This window comes from Homo sapiens, chromosome 3 (assembly GCF_000001405.40).
Source record: "Homo sapiens chromosome 3, GRCh38.p14 Primary Assembly".
Taxonomy (NCBI): Eukaryota; Metazoa; Chordata; class Mammalia; order Primates; family Hominidae; genus Homo; species Homo sapiens.
Window position 1 is genome coordinate 111069989 of NC_000003.12, and position 23779 is coordinate 111093767.

The following is a 23779-nucleotide window of genomic DNA, read 5'->3' on the forward strand; positions in this document are numbered from 1 at the left end:
AAAAAGAAATTTTCTCAAGGGAAACGGTGGTGTCAGCACAGCTGAGGAATGTCACAATAGCTACATTTTGTCAATTATGATCATCATCAGGGGATCTCCCGGAGCGATGCAGGACAAGGTTTATTCATAAGTGCATCTTGAGAATAGGTGATAGAAAGCCTTGGCTGCAGGAGACAAGCTTACAGGGGACGACAGAGGCAGACAGGCACAGGGAGGGAGGGAAGAGGAAAGGGCTGGAGGGAAAAAGGCACTAGACCGAGCGCTGGGAGACTGGAAGGGAGGCAGAAGTTAAGAAAGAAAAAAGAGGTGGGCAGGGTGTAGAATGGCTTGTAGCCTTGGAGGTTAGTAAAGCCTTGTAATCCAGCGGGCGGAAGGTGGGAAGACCCTATTGACTGAAAGCCGAGGACAGCGTGGTCTTGGCCGCAAGCATGCATTAGTTTAGCTGCGACAGGCTAACTTCTGGGCGGCTGATCCTTGTTCAGCTTTCCTGTTACTGGAACACATTTATGGCTATCTCGTGGAGATGACAGGACCTACATAAAATTAATAGTGTCAGGCCTGAGGACTGGTGTCCTCTGCCTTCAATTCACCCCCTACGCTGGACAGTCCAAATTGTCCACCCTCCTACTCCCCCCGCGGAACCAATGTGGCAGTGGCTCCAAGGTCAAGCTGCCGGTACTGTGCGAGGCGGGAGGATGGAGAGGGCAGGGCGGAGAGCCACCTGGGATGAGCGAGGGTCATGGTGGACCACAGACGCTCTTCTTATACGGGCAAATGTTTAATACTTCCCGAGGTCGCCTCTCTGCCATCAAACGAAAACAGGCAAGAAAATAAAACTACACATACGAACATGCAAAGGAAACAAAACCAAAGAAAAACACCAACGCACTCGTTGGGGGAAATCCATGGCCTCCTGTTGCCAGTCGCCCGGCGCGGAAAGTGGACAGCCCAGCGGCCAGTGAGAAGCAAGAGCAAGAAAGCAAACCTTCTGAAGACCCCTCTCCTCGCCCAGCTCCGCCGACCATTCTACCAAGCTGCCCTCCCAGAAAAAAGAGCAGGAAAAATGCCTGTGCAAACGTGCCTTGGCGAGCGGGGAATAAGTGGGCTGGGAAGAAGGGAAGGATTCGGAGAGCACAGCTGTCCCGGGGAACAGGAAGGAGGAGAAAGTCTCTCCCTCCCTTCAGTGCCCCGCGCCCCAGCGAGGAGGAAGATTACTAGTCCAGCAGGCTGCGTCCAGCTTCCTACACAGGAACCTTTAGCATGGGCAACGGAAGGGCAGCCCCCTCCTGCCTTCCCCTCCCCACCCCACCCCCTCGTCCCAGGTCCCCGCCACAGGGAGAGCGCCGCCCGGGAGAGGAGAAGGCCGAGCGTGATTGTCCCGCAGCCCTCGCCTCAGTCGGCGCCGGGGCCCCCGTGGACCCGCGAGGGGTGGAGTGGGCGAGACCATTGGAAAGGCAGGGAAGGGGGGAAACCAGGCAGGAACGAGGGGCGGGGCCGACTAACCTATTCCAGATTTTCCTGTCCCTTTTAAATCTCTGCTGTGGGAGAAACCCCGTTATCAAAGTGGATGAAAAGAATATTTTTTTTTGAAAGGGGAGGAGCATGTGTAGGAGGGCGGGGTGGGAGGAGACAGGGCTTGCGCCCGGGGATCAGACGGGAGGTGGAGTTGCGCGGGGAGGGCGGGCGAGTCGGGCGCCCGCTCTGAGAGTCGGTTTCTTTTCCCCCTCTTGCGTGGGGCGGGGTGGTGCGTTCCGAGTTCCCAGGAGTTCGACGCGGGCGGGTGCCGAGGGGAGGGGAGTGGCGGCGGCGGCGGGCGGCTCCCGCTTCAGCCTCGGCAGTGGCGTCGGCGACGGCGGTGTCGAGGCAGCCGCCAGCGTTCGGCCAAGTGTCAGCCGGCAGCGACGGCGCTAGAGCTGGGAGCTGGGGACGCGCGCGCCGGACCTTCCACAGCCTCCGCCCAGAGCCTGAGGCGCCGGGGCCGGGGGAGCCGGGGGGCGGGCGGGCGAGCGGGCCGGGGGGAGGGTGGGGGATGGCGCGGACCCTGCGGCCGTCCCCGCTGTGTCCTGGAGGCGGCAAAGCACAACTTTCCTCCGCTTCTCTCCTCGGAGCCGGGCTCCTGCTGCAGCCCCCGACGCCACCTCCGCTGCTGCTGCTGCTCTTCCCGCTGCTGCTCTTCTCCAGGCTCTGTGGTAGGTGAACCTCGGCGGCCGGCGTGGGCTGAGGGAGCCGCCACTGAGGGTGCGGGCGCCGCGGCCGGCTCTGCCAGCCGTTCTCTGGAGCAGCGAGGCGGTTGGTTGTGCGAGCGAGTGCCGAGGACTTTGGCTGGAAACTTTTCGCCGCGCCCGGGGCGAGGCCCTGGAAGGGCCAGGCCAGCGAATGCTGAGCCGGCGGCCCGCTGCCCTCCCCCGCGGCCGCGCGGGTCGCCGTGCGGATGGCCGAGGGTTGGCGATGGTGCTTCGTGCGCCGAACTCCGGGTTTGCTCCGGGGACCGTTACTTCCTCGCTCATTCTCTGGGAACCCTCGTAGGTTAAGGTGCCGGGATGCACGTTTGCCGCTTTTTTTCCCGGTGAAACTTGAGCTGTGAGCCCAGAAACCCTAGGGACCGGAGCCCGATGGAATGAAGCCTCCGGGTCCACTTCTCATGGCCTTCCACCCTGGAGAAGGCACCATTTTAGCCCACCCAGCCGCAGAATCCCCTACAGCTAGTTTTCTTCTGTCTTGTGCCCACTCCCCCGGCTCTGCCCTGACAGCTTCTGGAGCTCTCTAGATTGACCCTCGTCCCTGCCCTCCAGCTTGTGGGACGTCTCTCACACTGCCCGTGCTTATTTTACCAAACCGCAGGAACAAGATTTACGTGTTAAATACCTGATTTCATGGACTGTGTGCCCCGGCTGTTCTAACCAAAACAGTCACGCGCCTGTTTCCCATCTCTTGACCCTCGTGTTATGTTACTGTTTTCCTGTCATATTTGGGAGTTAGTCTCTGAGTTTTCTTCCCAGGTATGCCAGACTAGAAGCCTGCTTATTAAGGACTGTGCTAAAAAAAAAAAAAAAAAAAAAGTCTGCCTCATGCAAGAGAAATGGACTTAAGTGGTAATTAATGGGAGGCAGCGATTTGGGAAAATAAGGACACCAGTCTTTGGTGGGAGGAGGAGTATCAGAACACTGCGAGTAGTTATTTATTTGAGGGCTCTTGGTAAGAAAAGTAGAGGGGCAGAACTTAAGCTTGGTCAAAGATTGGTTTTCAGTATTTCATAAAACCGTAAACTGAAGTTTTACTAGTATTTATTAAAAGGAGAGATGTGTGCACATTTCTTGAATAGTGTGATTTAGAAGGAGGAGAATCCTGTTACATGGTAGGTGAGTCAGGGTAGTTGGTTATGAGGGAAGCAAAGTTTGCATGATGGGATTGAGTGTCTCTTCTGGGCTGAGAATTTCCACTGACAGTTTACCACCACGTTTCCAGCACTGTAATGAAATCTGATTTACACAGAGTATAGTATGGTAAATGGAATGTTATTAATTGTACGCTGTTTCTGTATGCCGACTCCGCAGATACTTGGTTCCAAGACAAAGTTCTTAATGCTATACCTTTTTAAATTGATGCCAGAGTCTAGATTGAATTTGTGTGCTGTTCTATTCCATGAAGGAGAATTGGGGATGTTGCTTACAGTTGAGTGAGAGGACAGTTGGAGGGGACCTTACCAGTTTACTATCCTGACTTCGTTTATGTTAAGGACTGAGAGAATATTTATACCTCCACAGAGGCAGATCTAGTTAGGCAAAGCTCTGTGGAAGACTGAAGCCAGGTAATATGCATAGCTGATGCAGGAATTATTTACATGATAATTTCTTAGTGGTTGTGAAAATGAATTGTTGATTACTTTTTGAAGGAACACATTGGTTTTCACATGGAAGAAGAAAACAGTTTTAAAAAATCTCAATGTAGCATTGGAAGGACTTGATTTTTAATTCAGAGCTTAAAAACTTAAGCAGTGTAGGCAAATGGACTGTGTTTTAGAGCAGGTGTAGTGTTTAGAGTCAACTCTTCTTGTTGTAGAGGTAGACACTGGTTTTGTATTCCTGTGTGCTACTCATTTAAACAGCTTCCTTTTTTGGCTTATAGTGTTATAACACCCTAATTTGTGAACCTTTATGACGAGTTTTTTCCATCAACCTTTATTTTGGAATTAAGTCTTTGAATAGGGCACAGATGTTGTGACTTATGGAAGCTTAGTGGTATGGAAGCAAAATTTTCTTCAAGTAAGCTGTTAGTCTAACAAGTTGTTGATTTAACTACTGTTTTAGTTAATAGAGTTATAATGATGTTCATAGTACTGCTTACAAGGTTTGGCATGTAATTAATATTTGCGTGGAGCCAGTTTTAGAGTTGAAAAGATTTTTAAGCTTTAAAAATATGACTGTAGCTGATGATTTGTTGATGAGAATGCTTTACTTGTTTTATGACATATAGATTTTTCCTTTTGCTGCTATTTTTGATATTTTGATATGTTTGATATATAGCGTGGCCTTAACTTTATCGTGTTAATTTAACTGTTAAAAATATCCATCAAAACTGGTGGACCTGATATTCTGAAGGCTATAAAAATGTTTATATCAGACTTGCTGGCCGTTTGTTTTGGGGGTGTGCATTATCTTATTTGGAGAACTGAACTTTTAAAATGAGAGTTTTACAGGTTGTCAAATTGCCAGATTTTTTTTTTGTTTTTAAGCCTAAGAGATTCCTAGGTATAAGTGTCAAGGGGACTGGGCTTACGTCATCATCTGACTTGATAAACGTCATTTAATTATGAAATTCGAAGTTTCTTTATGATGGCAATAATCAATTCATAGATGATTAGATTTATCTCACTTTTACTTCCCACCGTTTTTTTTTCAGGGGACATAGAGAATATTATCATGGGTATGGTAATGATGAATAACAAGATAGACTGACCTTTGTAAGGTCCCATTTGGCTCTGAGATTCTATGCCTCTTTCCATTTTCAGCAAGGCTTCATCTTAAGATGAATGTTTAAAAGAGCACAGAAAAGAAGATCTGATATGATATGGAACTTTTAAAAGCACTTTGACTACTTGATAGGCACTTGGGGACATAACACACGCATAAGACAGAGTCCTGGCTTCAAGATGCTTGTAACTTTGGGTTCGACCTAAAGGAAACATGATTGTAGAACAGTTTGGTGTTTGTGAGGTATTTTGATTTGCCCGGAAATGGGACACCTAACCCATTAGGTAAAGACTTATGAATGTGCAATGAAAAAAACAGTCATTTTTAAAACATCATTTGGGTCAGATCTTATTGAGATGTCTTCTTCCTTCCCTGTCCTTCCCTCCCTTCCTCTCTTTCTCTTTCTCTCTCTAGCTGTAAATCATTGGCAGGTTATTTAACCTTGGAAACTTGAAGTTTCTCTTGTTTTATAAAGAGATAACATTACTACCTTGCTGATGGAGATCTTGTGAGAATTAAATGACAGAATAGAATAAAACAATTAGAAGAGTGCATGAAATATAGTAACACTCAAATGTTAGCATTTATTATATTGCGCAGCATAAACTAACCAGGCTGGTATTAGTGATTCTTAAATTCTACACCAATGTGCTGAATAATTGAGTTTTCAAATTGACTTTCTGTATTTGTACTTTACATCTATATATTGAGTCTTAGCCCAGTGATCTTCAAATATTTGTTAAATTTACTTTATATAAATATACAGATGAGTATTCAGAATATTAGAATGTAGTCAAAATACTTCAATTGTATAATTGTATGGAAACTAGTTGACTATTCCCTTAATGATGTCCAGTGCATTTTAAGATTTGGCAGTTCCATAAGGTCACTTAGAATGTTAGTGATCATACTGAAGATAGGGGTTGGAGAAGGGACTCATAATTTGCTTCTGCTTTAAGTTACTGATGGTATCAGTTGGGGTCTATAGTACATATTGCCTGCATGAGTCTTTCTGCATCCTAAACAGATATTTTTGGAAAGTAACCCAAATTTAGAAGCAAGCAGAAAGATCAAATCTTCCTTTCTTGCAGTTATCTACAACATCAGAAATAATAATTGGAAAAGCTGGGCAATTGTGTTTATTATATATATTTACCTTGTTTATGTCACTTATACTTTCATCTATTTACAATTTAGTAATTTGGCAATTCTGATGTATGTTTTATATGTGTATAGTTAAGGGATAAAACTTATGGGTTATTGTTAATTACTTGAAAATTATTGAAGGGAAGCTGGTTATGAAAATCCTTGTTAAAAGAGAGCATTTTGACATTCTGTAACTTAACCCTTAAAAATTAGTGAGTAAATAATACATTGCTATAACATATTCTGTAATCTATTAAAATCTTCATAAAAGTTGACAAGCACTACATGGTTTGCAGATGAGACAGTTAATAATTACTATTAATATGTAAATGTAGGTTAAAAATCAAATAACAGTTAAGTCAATAATGAAACTTTAAAGACAGTTTTGTGTACCATGCACACAGATCCAAAAATCTGAGCACCATTAATCTGTCATATGTTTGATTACTTCATATATTTTTGTCTAAAATGGTCTTTAAATTGTTGAATCTGTATTCTTTACTGAATTTTATAAAATTTATGCTTTTTATGTATTAGAATAAACTCTGATATAGTTTAATCATTTATTTAAAATCTGTTGTGAGGCCAGGCACAGTGGCTCACGCCTGTAATCCCAGCACTTTGGGAGGCTGATAGCTTCAGGGCAGATCACTTTGGGTCAGGAGTTTGAGTCCAGCCTGGCCAATATGGCGAAACCCCGTCTTTACCAAAAATACAAAAATTAGCTGGGCATGGTGGCAGGAGCCTGTAATCCCAGCTGCTTGGAAGGCTGAGGCAGGCTAATTGCTTGAACCCCAGGGGGAGGAGGCTGCAGTGAACTGTGACTGCACCATTGTACTCCAGCCTGGGTGACGGAGCAAGACTCCGTCTCAAAAAAAAAAAAAAAAATCTGAAACTTTATTAAGGGTAGCTTCAAGGTTTTTTTCTAAAAGAGTTACTAATTATAATGTAACTTATCAATTACAAATTTTAATGAGGTCTGCCTCCTATGAGTCTAGATATAGCCATATCGCAGGTATTATAGTTATTTTAGAAAGGATATTATATATTTATATTTTGAATTTTACTTGTTTTCTTTAGTATGGCATCCAGGAGATTGTTTTTCTTGCAAGACTATTGACTGCCCACCATTCATTCTGCTAAATAAGTTGAGTAGGGAAGACCTGTTGCATTGTGAGTAGATATTCATAAACTGGAATGTGAGCCATGTGTAAAAAACTTTGGTTTCAACTTTAATGGTAAAAAAAAAAAAAAAAAAAGATCAAACTTGTTCTTAAATAGGTTGGCTGTTGCACCCAATAGAGGCCCTTTAGGCTTTCAGCCTAGGTTTTATCACAAGAAATAAAAGAACAGAAAAAGGGAGTGGGGCTGTAAATAGCTATTCTCAAATAGTTAGAGCCTGCAAAGATAGGATGTGTGAGTTAAAATCATAGTTACTAGGGAATCTTTTTTGAAGCAATGTGGCCGGGCCCCACTATGGACTTACTAGATCAACAATTTTTGTAAGACGGGTGAGGTGTGGAGTCCAAGGGTTGGGACATTTGTATTTTGAAAGACAACATCAGATAATTCTTTTTTCTCTTGACAAGTGCTATTTATTATAGCATTTTCATTTATGATTTGACCAAATATTATCAATCTTCTGAAAGAAATGTGCTTCACTGTTTTGTTCATTATTTGTATTCCCATGTGCTTGGCATGTAGTAGGCACTCATATTTATTTCAAGAGTTTGATGGCGAAATCAAGGTTAGTCCAAACCAGCACGTTTTAATAGAACTATAATGCAAGCCATGTAATTTCAAGTTTTCTTGAAGCCACATTTAAAAAGTGAAGAAGAAATAGGTGAAATTAATCTTATTTTATTTAACACAATGTAACCAAAATATCATTTCAGCATGCAATTGTTATTAAAAATTGAGATATTTTACATTTTCTTTCATAGTAATGTTTTGAAATCCAGTAGATATATTATACTTATAGATCATTTCAATTTGGACTAGCCACATTTAATGCACTTTGTATTCAAGTGTGATGTTCCTGGTGGCTACCAGTTTGGATAGTTCAAGTCTGAACCTTTAATTGTCTCTAAAGTGGGTTATGCCCTTTTGTGGTCTTTACCCATAAGGCCTAGAATGACATTGCTCTTCCTACCTAATCAAATTCTGAAGGGCTTGGTTTAAGATTGACTTTCTCCAGGAAGGCTTCCCTCACCACTTCTTGCATACAGTGAGCATGCAATTCTGTTTTCATTTTTTTCATGCTTTCAGGCTTAAAACAGTCTTTGTTAAAGTGTTTCTGTGAAACACTAGTCTCAGAAGGTAGGTTTTTGGAAGAAAAAGTACCATGTTTTAATACATTTGGGAATAGGAAAAGCTAATGATATACCCCCTCATGGAAAGTTAACAATGTGAATTAGTTTATTAATGGTCTAAGAAATTCTTCAGTAAAATATCCCATTTAACAAACTAAACAAATTCTTTGGTGTAATATATATTATGTTGCAGAAGCTATGTTATGCAGAATACACTATAGGAATATATTCTTAAAGAGATTTGTACTCTTGATGATTAGAAAAGGTTGGTAGACTTAAAGATATTACTTGAGATAGTTCTCCACTGATTTTTCCTTTTTAAAAAATTATTTTTCCTCTCTTCAGTTCTATTTCCCATTGCCTCACCCATTTTGAATTTGAGATGTTTGCAGAATTGACTTTCTATGAGAATAGTAGTCTTCTGCTTTGTTATTTCAAAATCAGCTGTATATTATTTACCTGTCTAGCTTAAGCTGCTTCTGTGAGATGTATCGTACTTCATGTATGACACATCTGACTCTGGAACTGAGTTTTATGAATGAAGTGGGTAAATTTAAGATAGTCTATTTTGTAATGGAAGTATGCTAATGTGAAACTGTGCAGGGCTAGGACTCCAACTAAGTGTCTGAGAACATTATATATAATGTCAGGAGTGTGCTTGACTCTTCTGTTGCTTCAATTCAGAAGAAAAAAATATTAATGAAATGCTAGTATTGGTAAACTGTAGTAAAATCAGTTTAATATAGTAACTGTGAATTATTCATGATAGACATGATTGCTATTACTGAAAATCTTAGGCCCTAGTTTTGAAGATTATTAATAAAATTTCTAATTTAGTTGTAGCTAGATTCTTAAAGTACTCAGCAATTATGGTGGCTATTTTGAAACTGTGCATTGTTTATCAAGCTTGTTTTTCATGTAAAAGGATCTGGGCATTGATATATTTTCATTATATTTGTAGTTAATAGTAAAAATGTTTAAATGTCCTTTCATTATAGACTCAGATTCCCTACTAATTTGATTTAGAGATAATCATTCATGGCTATACATTTAATTTAATACTAAGCCTGACAATAAACTGCCTAGTTTTTAAAACCTGCTTAGAGATACCATACCTACTTTATTTTAAATGCAAAATAAAAAAGTCCTTCTCCATTCCTTTAATTTTTTGGAAGAGAATCAAGTGGAAGAAGGCATATAGCTAACAGTTCTATACTTCTCTTTAAGGGCACAGGACTAAAACATGATAGCAGCATTTCTCACTTAATCATAAGCCTGCTTATGTTAATGGCTACTGCAGTCACTCTAAAACTCTGCATTTCTGCTTGTTAAATTTAAAGGAAGTAAAAAATTACTGCCAACACAATCTTTGAGAAACATGCAAATAATACAGTTGTATTTAATGTCAACTTATATAGTAGCTTCCCCATTCCTATAAACACTTCTGAGGTTATATGATTATCTTGATGCAGTTTTTCTGCCTAGTTCATATTAAAAGCAGAGTGAACTTCAATATTGAAATAACAGTAAGGGAATTTCTGTTCTTTTTCAAGGTGTTGCATTGTTTATTGTTGTATACTAGTACAGTGCCAAAGGATTTATAATTTTTTTCTTTTAAACTGGTATAGACCCTACAGTTGACTGATTTTGAATAACAAAAAGGCATATCAAGTTTATAATTAGTAATACTAATTAGCAGGAAATAAGACTATCTAGATTATTGACATTCTTTTCTGTATTTAAGAAAATAAAATTAAGAAATTATGTTTGCCGTTTTCAATGAGGAAAGATTTTCAACTTCGGGATTCTTAAAGTACTCAGCAATTATGTTGGCTATTTTGAAACTGCATTGTTTATCAAGCTTGTTTTTCATGTAAAAGGATCTGGGCATTGATATATTTTCTTTATATTTATAGTTAATAGTAAAAATGTTTAAATATATAAGTAGCTGGTGAAATTTGTATTTGGCATGCCCCAAAGCCCCTTTTCCTTCAAAAGCTTTAATCCTGACAGCATCTCTTGAAATATAAAACAAATTTGAAGTTCCCTAAGAAAAATACATGTTTTTCTTTGAGGATACTACTGTTGCTTTGCTGCCCTCTACAGTCATCTAAAATAGTCACTCTAGATTTTTCTCCATTCAGATACTTAGAATACTTTTTCCCTGACCTGTGTATGAGCTTTATATTTCAGGAATGGGTTAAGTAATATTTACTGTTACAGAAGTAAAGTTTAGTCACAGTTAATCTATATATGTCATGCAAAAAAAAAAAAAAAGGACTTAGAGATTTGAACAAGGGATAAATTGGGGACTATTGAGCAACAACCATGTGCTAGGGAGTATAAAGGATACCACGGTGGAATGAGGCATGTTGGCCCTCTAAAGCTTATGAACTCATTAATACGATTAATGGCATGCTTATATATCAAATGACATTTGTAACAACATGCCAAGTGATATGATATAGTTTACAGAAATATTAGTAAGGGCTGGAAGAGTTAAAAATGAGACTTTTGAGCTATGTCTTCAAGAGTTTAGACAGATAAAACAGGGTGGTTTTAAACATATTTAAAACACAAAGCAGGCTGGGTGCAGTGGCTCACGTCTGTAATCCCTGAGAGGCTAAGGCAGGAGGATTGTTTGAGCCCAATTCTTTGAGACCAGCCTGGGCAACATAGTGAGACCTCGTCTCTGCCAATAAATAAATAAATAAATAAGCCAGGCATGGTGGAGTCCACCTGTAGTAGCAACTACTCAGGAGGGTAAGGTGGGAGGATTGCTTGAGCCCGGAAGGCTGAGGCTGTAGTGAGCTAAGATTTTGCCTCTGCATTCCATCCTGGACAACAGGGCAAGACTCTGTTTCACCATAAAAACAAAAGACAAAACAAAACAACAAGAAAAACCACAACCCTACAAAGCATCTGTTATGTAGAAAGGACTCTTCTAGGCTCCTTGGAGTCTTTGCCCTTAAGAAATGTAAAACTTAATTGTCAGGAGATTGGAATGAAAGATGTCTTTCTCTGTGTATGTGTGTGTGTGTATTAACCCAGTTACTTCTCTCCCTGTTTCCTCCCCTGTTAAATTGGCTAAATAATACTTTCTTCACAGAATTGCTATGAAATTAAATTGCAATAAAGTGCTATGTAAATACAACAAACAATACAGTGAACAAAAATGACTTGTCTTATGTGAGAAATTTAACAAAGTATTGTCGGATTATAGAAAGAGGACCAATTTAACTAGGGGTGGAAGAAGACTTAGAGGAGCTAATTTTCTAGCTGAATCTTGAAGGAATAGCTTAGATTTCTGTTTGTGAGGGAAAGTCAGTGAAAAAGAGGGTGTTCCAACTTAAAGACCACTGAGATGAGGACTCTAGAAGGAATTAGTGTTCTCATGTGACTCAAGCATGAACTTTATGGAGGGAAGTCGTGGATTTTTAAATACTTTGCTGAGGCGATTAGACTGTGGTAGCCACTGAGGAGCTTTTGAAGGCAGGCAACTGTGGAGTCCATCCATGACTTGATAGATTGTATAGCTCTGGCAGAAATGTAAAAAATATATTGGAGCTATGACAGACAAGTGAAGGTGACAACCATTGTGATATTCCATGGAAAGAGGATTACAGAGATAAATGACAGTTTTGCAAAGGGATTTGAAGGGAGGCTTGGATCTGAGAAGTAGATGATATGGTGTTTGGATATCATTGTGGGTAAGGAAGGAGGAGTTAGATATGAACCAACTTGGAATAACTAGGAAAGGATGATGAGAGGATTGATTAATCAATCCAGTAAGGTTTCACATGCATTTGTGGTGTACTTTTGAGCTGTAGCTGGAAATTTGTGAGAGTTGGGGTTAGAAGGGTGAGGTACGAGGGGTAGGAGGTAGGTTGTGAAACTGGGAATTATCAGGATTGAGGTATTTGCATTGAATGAGCTGTTTCAGAGAGAAAAGGGAACACAGGCAGAAGAGAGAGAGTGAGAAGAAAAAAGTGGAGAGAGGGAAGGGAATAGTGGATGGGGCCAGAATTTTTTTTTAGATTGAGGTATTTTGATTGGATAAGCTATCGGAGGGAGAGAGAAGAAAAATGTTCAAGGAAAAATCTTAGTTGATAAATAAATGAATACATTTAGTAGAGGTAAGGGCATTCGTGACTCTTAGTAATTTTAGTAAAAGTGGTTAGGAGAAAAATGTCACATCTTAAAGCAGAGGTCTCCAACTTTTTTGGCACCAGGGACTGGTTTTGTGGAAGACAGTTTTCCCATGGCCTGGGGTTAGGGGCAGTGAATGGTTTTGGGATGATTGAAGTGCATTGCATTTATTGTGTAGTTTATTTCTATTGTTATTAGATTGTAATATATAATGAAATAATTATACAATTCACCATAACGTAGAATCAGTGGGAGCCCAGAGCTTGTTTTCCTGCAACTAGACAGTCCCGTCTGGGGGTGATGGGAGATAGTGACAGATCATCAGGCATTAGATTCTTGTAAGGAGTGCACAACATAGATCCCCCACATGTGCAGTTCTCAGTAGGGTTCGTGCTCCTGTGAGAATCTAATACTGCTGCTGATCTGATAGCAGGCAGAGCTCAGGTGGTAATACAAGCGATGGGGAGCAGTTGTAAATACGGATGAGAGATGGGGAGTGGCTGGTGAATACAGATGAAGCTTCACTTGCTTGCCCACCACTCACTTTCTGCTGTGCGGTCCAGTTCCTGACAGGCCACAGACTCGTACGGGGGTTGGAGACCCCTGTCTTCAAGGATTAAGAAATCATGGGATAGTGAAGGAGAGTAGGGACAACTCTTGGGAAAGAAAGGAAAGAGAAAAAAGAGTAATTTGTGAGGGAACAAGACTATGTCAGTTGTTATGGACTGAAAGTTTGTGTTCCCCTTCTCCCCCAAATCCATATGTTGAGCTCGCAACCCTCAATGTGATGGTGTTAGGGGGCATAGGGCCTTTGGGAAGTAATTAGGTTTAGATGAGGTCAGGAGGGTAGAGCCTCATGATGTGATTAGTGTCCTTATAAGAAGAGGAAGACACTAGAGCTGTTTCTCTCCATCATGCAAGGATGTAGCAGAAAAGCAGGCATCTGCATGCCAGGAAGAGGGCTGTCACCAGGAACCTGATAATGCTGGCACCCTTGTCTCAGACTTTCATGCTCCAGAGCTGTAACAAAGAGTGTAAGCCAGCTAGTCTATGGTATTTTGTTAAAGCAGCCCAAGCCGAGACATCAGTCAAGGTTTTATTCACAAACATCAGAAACTTGACCCCGTGGTTAAAAGACAGTTTTTTGAAAGATATTGGATGCTTCAGGCATGGAAAACAAGAACTGAAAGAAGGTAGGCAACTAGAACTATATCCAGAACCATAGCTAAGATACTATATTGAGGGGCAGTTTGTTAAGGTCATTACCTGCTGTCTCCTGGACGCTGGATGATATAGCCTTGTCTCTGATACTGGCTTTGCTGCTCATAGAAACTGGATGTTGTTGTTGCCATAGCCCAAGAAAATATATTGTCCACAAGTGTCCACTATAGAAAGTTGAAAAACTTTTTTTAAAAAATTTAATTTATATGATGAGACTTCTGTGTCTTTGGGAGAGAAGCAGGAGAAGCTCATTGATACGGCAAGGTCCAGGAAAAGAGATAAGTGGAAACATTAAAAACACAGATGAGAGATGCTAGTATTAGAAATGGAAGACACTTCTTTCTACTAAATAGGGAAAAGAAAATGATAGGTGAAGATGTTGAGACACTTCCAGGTGTGAGAGAGGGAAGTTACAAAAAGGTCTTGTTCTTTAGCGATATAAGTGATAAACTTTTAGAATGAGTGTGGAGTGATGTTGGGACTTAGGATAGAACCTGTGGTGAAAAATGGAATAAGACATCAACTAAGAATGAATGAAATGATTCAGTATTGAAGGCATGAATTGGCATAACATGGACTTGTGAAACGTGAAAGATGGTGTGGAGGCAGTAGTAAGTTTATGTTGTGTGGATGTTAGTATTTAATTGAGCACTAGGTCTACTAGAGACTATTCTAGGTACTGTGAAAGACTAGCCGATAAAGAACAAAATGTGTTCTGGGAACCACTTGTGTTTATGTATGGAAAGAAGTAGAATAGAGTCAGACTGAGTGCTTTTTAAATGTGATGTGATAGGGTGTCTGAAAGTTTGAGAACAAGGGTGATGTAAGGAAGGTAGGATTTAAGAAATAAAGATATTATTGAGGCCTAAAGTAGGGTTGTAATGGTAGAAATGGAAGGGAAAGGTTTAGAAACGAGATAATTAAATGGTAAAATAATACCTCTTAATAATTCTAGGATATAAGAAATGGAGGAAAATTAGTGGAGTTTTCAGACAGATGGGAAAATATTGTAAAAGTTATTGAATGGAAGATTGATGTAGGAATTAGATGTTGCATACCTGGAAGGGTGGGCTGCCATAACAAAATGCCACAAACTGGATGGCTTAAAACAGCATAAATTTATTCTCTCACAGTTCTGGAGCCTGGAAGTCTGAAATCAAGGTGTAAGCAAGGCCATGTTCCCTTTGAAACTCTGGATAGAATCCTTCCTTGCCTTTTTCTGCCTAGTTTCTGGTTGTGGCTGTGTCTCTTTAGTGTTTCTTGGCCTACTGCTGCATTATTACAATCTCTGATCTGTTGTCACATGACGTTTTCCCTGTATGTCTCAATAGGACAAAAGTCATATCGGATTAAGGGCTACCCCACTCAGGTATGACCACATCTGAATTTACATCTTAAATACATCTGTGGACACTCTATTTCCAAATAAGTTCACATTCACAGACACTAGAGGTGAGGGCTTCAACACACAATTCAGCCTGTAATACAGGGATGATGATTTTTGTTTTGGCTGTGTAAGCTGTGAGATTTTAGGCTTGATTAAAGTCAAAGTGCCAGTTAAATGCAGCATTTGAGGATGTGAGGTATGAGGTGGTTTGAATGAAACTTGAGAGAGACTCATGAAATATTAAAACTTTTAAAATTGACGTATACATCAGAAAAATACATACATAAATGTGCGGTTGGATGAACTGTTAAAATGTGAGGATATTCCTGAAACCATTTTCCTGGTCAAAAAATAAAACATTACCAGGCTCCAGAAGTCCTTCTCTCATACTCCTCAGTCACAAATCCTTTTCTCTTAACCACCATTCTGACTTCTAGCACCACACATTAGTTTTTCCTGTTTTTGAACTTTGTAATACTTCTTTGCTTACACTGTGAGATTCATCCATGTTGTTGCATGTAGCAGTATTTTTTTTTTTTTTACCACTGTACGGTATTTTGTTCCATGACTGTTCCATAATTTATCAGTTTTAATGTTGGACAGACATTTGGGTTATTTTCACTTTGAGGCTTTTATGAATGGTACTGCTGTGAACATCATCGTGCCTGTTTTTGGTGGTGGTATTGCTGGTTCATATTATGCATATTTTTGTTGGAATAATTTTCCAAAGTGCTTATAACAATTCATACTCCCACCAATAATGTTTGAGAGTTTCAATTGCTCTACATTCTCACTAGTCCTTTGTAATATCAGTATTTTTCTTTTAACCATTCTGGTCAGCATGTAGTGGTGATTGTGATTTTAATTTGTAATTCCTTAATGATTGAGATTTAAGATTATGGGCCATTTGAATATCCTCTTTTGTGAAGTGCCTGTTCATTCTTTTTCCTTTTTATTCAGTTAGGTTGTCTTTCATCTTTTTATGGGTTCCTAGGAATTGTTTATATTTGCTAAATATGAACCCTTTGTTAATTATATGTATTGCAAATATCTTCTACTCTGGCCATTTCACTCTGTGAATGGTTTCTGTTGATAAAAAGCAGTTCCTGAATATCTGTCTGTGTAGTCAAAACCAGTCTTTTTCTTTACAATTAATTTGTTGTGTTTTTGTTTAGGAAATCTTTCTCTAGTACACCATCATGAAATTTTTTCCCGCTAGAATCTTTATTATTTGCCTTTACTGTAGTACATCTAAAATTTATTTTTGTGATTATATAAGATAGGGTTCATATTTTTTCCTCCATTTACTATTTAGTCAGCCATCACCATTTATGGAAAAGACTCTCTGCTGTGCAATGCTGGCTTTATAATAAATCAAGTAGCCATATATGCCTGGAGTTTTTTGGACTCTGTTCCAGTGGTCCATTTTTCTATCTCTGTACAAGTATCATAATGTCTCATTAGAGCTTTATAATAGATCCTCATATTGGGTGGAGTAAGCTCGCCTATTCAGGTTTATTGTACTTAGTCTTGTTCCTTTTTCCTTTCCACATAAATTTTAGTGGCAGTTTATTAATTTTCATAAAAAGCCTGCAGGATTTTTAGTGGCAGTTCATTAAATTTATATGGATTAATGTGGGGCTAGATTTGGCATCTTTCTAATGCTGAGTCTTCCAATCCATGAGCCTGTTTTATCTATTTATTGAGGTTTTCCTTAAATAAAATCTTCTGGTTTGTTCTGTGTGTAGACATCTTATATAACTGTAAATTTTAGATTAAACTTAATCTAATTTTAATTATAGATTTATTTCAAGTTATTTGGCTTTTTGATGTTATTATAAATAATATTTATAAAATGTTTTCTCATTGTTTGTGGCATGTAAAATGCAATCCATTTTGGTACTGTGACCTTATGTAAAGAGACCTTGCTTAATTTCACTTATTTCTAATACTTTGTGGAATCTTTTGAATTTTCCATCTATATAAGCATGCCATCTATGATGAAGGCCTGTTTCTCTTCAATGATTGTATTGTTTTTCTTTTCCTTTACCTTATTGCACTGGCTAGGACATCCAGTGTGATATTAAAGTGGTGACTACAAGCATTGTTACATGTGTAATCTCAGAGGTAAAAGTGTTCAGCATTTCAAAATTAAGTATAATTTTTTTGTAGCATTTAAAAAAAATAGAAGATGCCAGGCCGGGTGCTGTGCCTCACGCCTGTAATCCCAGCACTTTGGGAGACCAAGGCTGGCGTATCACTGGAGGTCAGGAGTTCAAGACCAGCCTGGCCAACATGGCAAAATCCTGTCTCTATTAAAAATACAAAAATTAGCCTGGTGTGGTGGTGCACACCTGTAATCCCAGCTGCTTGGGAGGCTGAGGCAGGATAATCACTTGAACCCAGGAGGTGGAGGTTGCAGTGAGTGGAGATTGTGCCACTGCACTCCAGCCTGAGCAACAGAGCGAGACTCTGTCTCAAAAAAAATAAAGAAAGAAAACAGCCTTTTAAAAATTTAATTTTTTTTTTTTTAATTTTATTTTGAGACCGAGTCTTGTTCTGTTGCCCAGGCTGGAGTGCAATGGCATGATCCCAGCTCACTGCATCTTCTGCCTCCAGGTTCAAGTTATTCTCTTGCCTCAGTCTCCTGAGTAGCTGGGATTACAGGCGCCCGCTACCACGCCTGGCAAATTTTTGTATTTTTAGTAGAGATGGCATTTCACCATGTTGGGCAGGCTTGTCTTGAACTCCTGACCTCAAGCAATCTACCCTCCTCAGCCTCCCAAAGTGTTGGGATTATAGGTGTGAGCCACTGTGCCTGGCAGAAGAAGCCTTTTTCTCAGCTTAGGGAGGTAATATAGTTGGATGTTTGATTCTGCCAAGCCTCATGTTGAAATTTGATCCTCAGGGTTGGAGGTGGGGTCTGTTGGAAGGTGTTTGTGTTGCAGGGCAGATCCCCTCATGAATAGAGTAATGCCCTCCCTGGGGTGGTAGAGGGAGAAGAGTGAGTTCTCACTCTTATTAATTCCTGCAAGAGTTGTTTGTTAAAAAGAGTCTGGCACCTCCTCTCTAGCTTTGTTGCTTCCCATTGCCATGTGATCTCTGTACAACCCAGCTGTCCTTTGCCTTCTGCCATGCCAAAAGTGTCCTAAGGCTCTCTTCAGATACCCAGACCTAAACTTTTTCAGGTATCAGAATTGTGAGCTAAATAAACCTTTTTTCTTTATAAATTACCCAGTCTCAGGTATTCCTTCATTGCAACACAAAATGGGCTAAAGCAGGAAGTTTCTTTCTGTTCTCATTTTTTCTAAGAATTTTTATCGTGACTAGGTACTTAATTTTATCAAATGTTTTATCTTAAAGTTGAGGATATGATTTTTTCCCCCATTTTTTTAATAATGTGGTAAATTACATTTCTATGGGCCCAACATGCTTCTGCTATACAACTCTACTGATGGTGAATTACATTTATAAAAACATTAAACCATTATTGTGTTTCTGGAGTAATCTCAGTTTGGTTTTGATGAATATATCCTTTATTATATCACTGGATTCTATTTGCTATTTTATTTTCTTTCCACATATGTTTATGAATTGCATTGGCCCAAAATTTTTCTTTCTTAAAATGCTTTTGCCACCTTTTGGTGTCAAGGCTGTGCTGGACTCATTAAAAACTTGGGAAGTGTTCATCTTTTTTTTGGTCTTGTGTAAGAGTTTAAGATTGATAATTTTTTCTTTGTTTTGCAGAATTCATCTGGGCATGTAGTTTTCTTTTTAAGGGAAGGATTTTTAATTACAGATTTAATATCTTAATAATTATAGTACTAGTCAGATTGATTGTGTCATTTTGGCACTTAGCATTTTTGTGGGAATTTGTCAACTTCATGCTTTCAAATCTTTTGACAAAAAAATTGTTCATAATATTTTCTTATCGTCTTTTTAATGCTTGGAGGATAAGTAGTGATGCCCTATGTTTTCATTTCTTATGTTAGTATTTTGTGCCTTTTCTCATTTTCTGGATCAGTCTTTCCAAGAGATTTTCAATTTTATTATACTTTTCAAAGAACCCACTTTTGGTTCATTGTTGATTCTATTTTATGTTTGTTTCTATTTCATTATTTTCTTTTCTATCTTATTTTCTTCTACTTATTTTTATTTGGAGAGGGGCTTATTTCTTATTCTTTTTCTCATTCTTCAGATGGATAGTTAGATTACTGATTTTCAGCCTTTCTCGTGTGTGTGTGTGTGTGTGTGTGTATGTATATAAACATATACATACACACACATATATGTAATTTTTTTTCCTTTAGATATGACTTTGACTGCATCCCATGTGTATTCAGTTCAGAACATTTTGAAATTTCCGTGTCGTCTTTTTGACTCATGGATTATTTTGAGATTTTTGCTTAAGTAAATGGGATTTTAAAGTTATCTTTCTTACTGATTTTTGTTTTAACATTGTGTCAAGGAATTTTCTCTGTAGGATTTCAGTCTTTGGGCCCAATATGCAGTCAGTTTTGGCAATTTTGTGTGCACTTGAAAAAATTGCCTTTGTTGGGTGAAGTGTTCTCTCTCCATGTATGTATGTGTATATGAGTTAGATCGAGTTGGTTGCATTGTTCAAATTTTCTTAACCCTTTCTGATTTTTTTTTGCTTCTGTTAATTAATGAGCAGTTTATTAAAATTGTATGCCATGATGTAGATTTGTCTATTTTTTCTTTTGATTCTGTGAATTTTTGCCCCGTGCATATTAGGTTATGAGGTGCAATCAAATTTCGAATGGTATTTTCCTGGGACGTGGCTCTTTTATCATTATTAAATGGCCCTGTATCTCTAGCATTACTTCTTGCCTTAACATTTACTTTGTCTAGTTTTCATATAGCTACATAAGTTTATTTCAATTAGCGTTTGCATTTTATCTTTTTTGCAACCTTTACTCTCAATCTTTCTGTGTCCTTAAATTTAAGACGTATCTTTTGTAAGCAGCAGATATATTTTAGAAAGTCAGTCTACTAGGGTTTGTCTTTTGTTTGGCCTATTTAGTTATTAGAGTTTCTTTACATATTTGAGTTTAGCTCTACCATCTTACATTTTGCTTTCTACTTGTCCATACGTCCTTTGTTTTATTCATTTATTCATTTATTGCTTTCCTTTGTATAATTCTTCATAATTCCATTTTCCTATTGTTAGATTGCTGGTGTTATATTCTTTAATATTAACTTCATGAACTACCCTACTGTTAACTACCCTAGAGATTACAAGATGCATCCTTGACTTATTAAAGTCATATTAATTAGTACATATATTATTACTTCCCAGGCAATACAGGAACCATCAAATATTTAACTATCTTATCCTCATTCTGCCGTTAGTGCTAGTGTGTGTTTGCTTGTTTGTGTGTGTGTGTGTGTGTGTGTGTGTGTGTCTCATAAGGCATTTTGCATCTTTATTTTTTTATACAGTAAATATTTCTTTTTCATATGTGTTTACCCTTTCTGTAGTTCGTTTTTTCATGGCATCTTAAAGTTTTCCATCTGGAATTCTTTTTCTTACTCTGAAGATCATCCTTTGTATTTTCTTTAGTGCAAGTCTGCTGATTAAAATTCTCTTTTTGCCTTAAACTTCTTTATTTTACCTTTTTAAATAGGTTGGTGAAAAGTGATTGTGGTTTTTGTCATTAAAACCACAATCACTTTTGCACCAGCCTATTTAAAACCATTTGTTTAACTTTATCCTCATTCCGCCATTAGTGCTAGTGTGTGTGTGTGTGTATCTCATAAGCATTTTTATTGTTTTATGCAGTAAATACAGAAGCTTTATTGATATAATTCACATACTTTACAGTTTACTGATTTAAAGTGTGTATAGATAATTGGTTGTTAGTATATTTATAGAGTTATGCAGCTATCACTGTAGTCAATGTTACTATTTCCTCCACAAAAATAAGTCAGTTCCCATTTTACCTCACTGCTCCTAACACTATACAACACTAATTTACTTCTTTGTCTTTAAACATGTACTATTCTATATATTTCATTAAATGCTACCATAAAATGTGTAGTCTTTTTCTTTTCTTTTATTTGTTTATTTATTTTTTTTGAGACGGAGTCTTGCTTTGTCGCCCAGGCTGGAGTGCAGTGGTGCGATCTCAGCTCACTGCAAGCTCCGCCTCCCAGGTTCACGCCATCTCCTGCCTCAGCCTCCCGAGTAGCTGGGACTACAGGCGCCCACTATGCCCGGCTAATTTTTTGTATTTTTTAGTAGAGACGGGGTTTCACTGTGTTAGCCTGGATGGTCTCAATCTCCTGACCTCATGATTCACCCGCCTCGGCCTCCAGAGTGTTGGGATTATAACAGGCGTGAGCCACTGCACCCGGCCAATGTGTAGTCTTTTGTATCTGTATTATTTCATTTAGTGTAATGTTATCAAAGTTCATCAATGTTGTTGTATATGTCAGTATTTCATTCTTTTTTATTGTAACTAATATTCTGTTATGTAGATATCACATTTGTCTGTCTAGTCATTAGTTGATAGACATTTGGGTTATTTCTGCTTTGGGGTTATTATAAATAATGCTGCTGTAAATGTTCATATATAGGTTTTTGTGTGGACATATATTTTTATTTCACTTGGGTATTTACCTGCAAGTGAAATTGCTGGAGGTGTTGCTAATTATATTTTACCTTTTGAAGAACTACCAAACTGTTTTCCAAAGGGGCTATACCATTTTATGTTCCCACCAGCATTGGAAAAGTCTTCCCCACATTCTTACAAAAACTTGTTATCTGCCTTTTTAATTGTAACCATCACAAGTGGGTATGAGGTGGTGTATGGTTGTTTTAATTTGCATTACCGTGATGGCTGATGATGTTGAGCAAATTTTCATTTGCTTATTGGCCATTTATATATGTTCTCTGAAGGCATGTCAGTTCAGACCCTTTGCTCATGTTTCAATTGGGTTATTTATATTTTTATAATTGACCTGTAAGAGGTTCCCCCCACCCCAAGATATATTCTAGAGACAAGTATTTTAGGTATGTGTTCTGCAAATGATTTCTTTTGGTCTGTAGGTTGTGTTTTCTTTCACCCTATTGATGTCCATTTTAACAGAAAAGCTTTTCATTTTGATAAAATACACTATCTGTTTTTTATCCTTTAATTGCTTATGCTTGTGCCATATCTAGAAGGCTTTGACTAACACAAGTTCATGAAGATGTACTACAGTATTTTCTTCTAGGAGTTTTTTAGTTGTACCTCTTATATTCAGCTCTATGATCCATTTTGATATAATTTTTGTGTATGGTACAAGGAAAGAGTCTAACATCATTTTTTTAATATGGATATCTAGTTGTTGCAGGACCATTTGTTGAAAAGATTATTCTTTTCCCATTGAATTGACTTGGTACTCTTGTTGAAAATAAATTGATAAATGTGATGGTTTATCTGGACTCAGTACTGTTCTGTTGATTCATATGTCTTCTTATTCTAGTGTCACACAGTTTTGATTAGTTTCAGTCACACAGTTTTAGTCACTGTAGTTTTGAAGAAAGTCTTGAAATTGGGCAGTGTTAGTCCTCCAATTTTATTTTATTTTTCAAGTTTGGTTATTACTAGACCCTTTAGTTTCCATATAAATTTCAGATTTAATTTGTCAATTTCAGCAATTGTGCCAGGTAGGATTTGGATAAGAGAGTAGGTTGAATCTCTAGATTAGTTTGGAGATTATTGCCATTTTAACAGTATTAACTGTTGATACATGAACATGGGATAAGTTTACATTTATTTAGGCTTTCTTTAATTTCTTTTAACATTGTTTTGTAATTTTCAGTGTAAGCTTTACACTTCATTGTTAAATTTTTTCATATTTTGTTGGTATTGTCAGTGGCACTGCTTTCTTAATTTCATTTTTGGATTATTTATTCCTAGTCTATAGAAATGCAGTTGAATTTTGTGTATTGAGCTTGTATCCTTCAAACCTGATGAACTGTTTTATTAGTTCTAACAGCCTCTTCCTCCTGCAATATCTTTTCAGTCCCCTCTCCCAAGACAATGCAGCACTGTTCACATTAAAGGAGAAATACTTAAAGGAATTCCATTTTATCACAGAGCATATATAGAAGGATGCATTTGGAGCTGAGAGGCAATATATTGATAATGTGCACATTTCCATAGTGTGACCATATTTTAAAGGTGTTCATGCACAAGATTAGAAGCTAAGTATTAATGTGTGTGGTTTTTTTATTTTGTTGGGTTTTTTTTTTTTTTTGAGACAGAGTTTCGCTCTTGTTGCCCAATGTTGCCCAAGCTGGAGTGCAATGGCGTGATCTTGGCTCCCTGCAACCTCCACCTCCTGGGTTCAAGTGATTCTCCTACCCCAGCCTCCTGAGTAACTAGGATTACAGGCACGTGCCACCACGCCTGGATAATTTTTTGTATTTTTAGTAGAAACGGGGTTTTACCATGTTAGCCAGGCTGGCCTCGAACTCCTAACCTCAGGTGATCCGCCTGCCTGAGCCTCCCAAAGTGCTGGGATTACAGGCATGAGCCACCGTGCCTGGCTTTATGTATCTCTTAAACCAAATGAAATGAAAA

General features: G+C 38.6%; 1 protein-coding gene and 1 long non-coding RNA gene across 12 annotated transcripts in view, besides 1 other annotated feature; one reads left to right on the forward strand and one right to left on the reverse strand.

Moving 5' to 3' along the window:
- LOC151760 (putative uncharacterized protein) overlaps window positions 1-1778 on the reverse strand; it is a 183623-nt gene extending 181845 nt beyond the window's left edge. The window contains exon 1 of one of the 2 annotated variants that reach the window (XR_007096272.1): window positions 1504-1778. This is a non-coding gene — a long non-coding RNA (putative uncharacterized protein LOC151760). Of the gene's footprint in view, window positions 1-889; window positions 1402-1503 lie in introns of those variants that run through there. The other variant, XR_007096273.1, reaches the window with a different exon arrangement.
- Window positions 1556-1655: a silencer, noted in NCBI's record as "silent region_14597". NCBI's record gives its function as "represses an Ori minimal core promoter by ATAC-STARR-seq in GM12878 lymphoblastoid cells {active_cell/tissue: GM12878}" and the evidence as "EXISTENCE:reporter gene assay evidence [ECO:0000049][PMID:35858748]".
- The window catches only part of NECTIN3 (nectin cell adhesion molecule 3), a 122355-nt gene continuing 100403 nt past the window's right edge, over window positions 1828-23779 (forward strand). For 3 of the 10 annotated variants that reach the window (XM_017006126.2, NM_015480.3, NM_001243286.2), the window contains exon 1: window positions 1828-2189. In XM_017006126.2, coding sequence (XP_016861615.1) covers window positions 2030-2189 — 160 coding nt within the window. In that variant the 5' untranslated portion in view covers window positions 1828-2029. Of the gene's footprint in view, window positions 3000-4214; window positions 4263-7196; window positions 7290-23779 lie in introns of those variants that run through there. The other 7 variants (XM_017006123.2, XM_011512663.2, NM_001243288.2 and 4 more) reach the window with 5 other exon arrangements.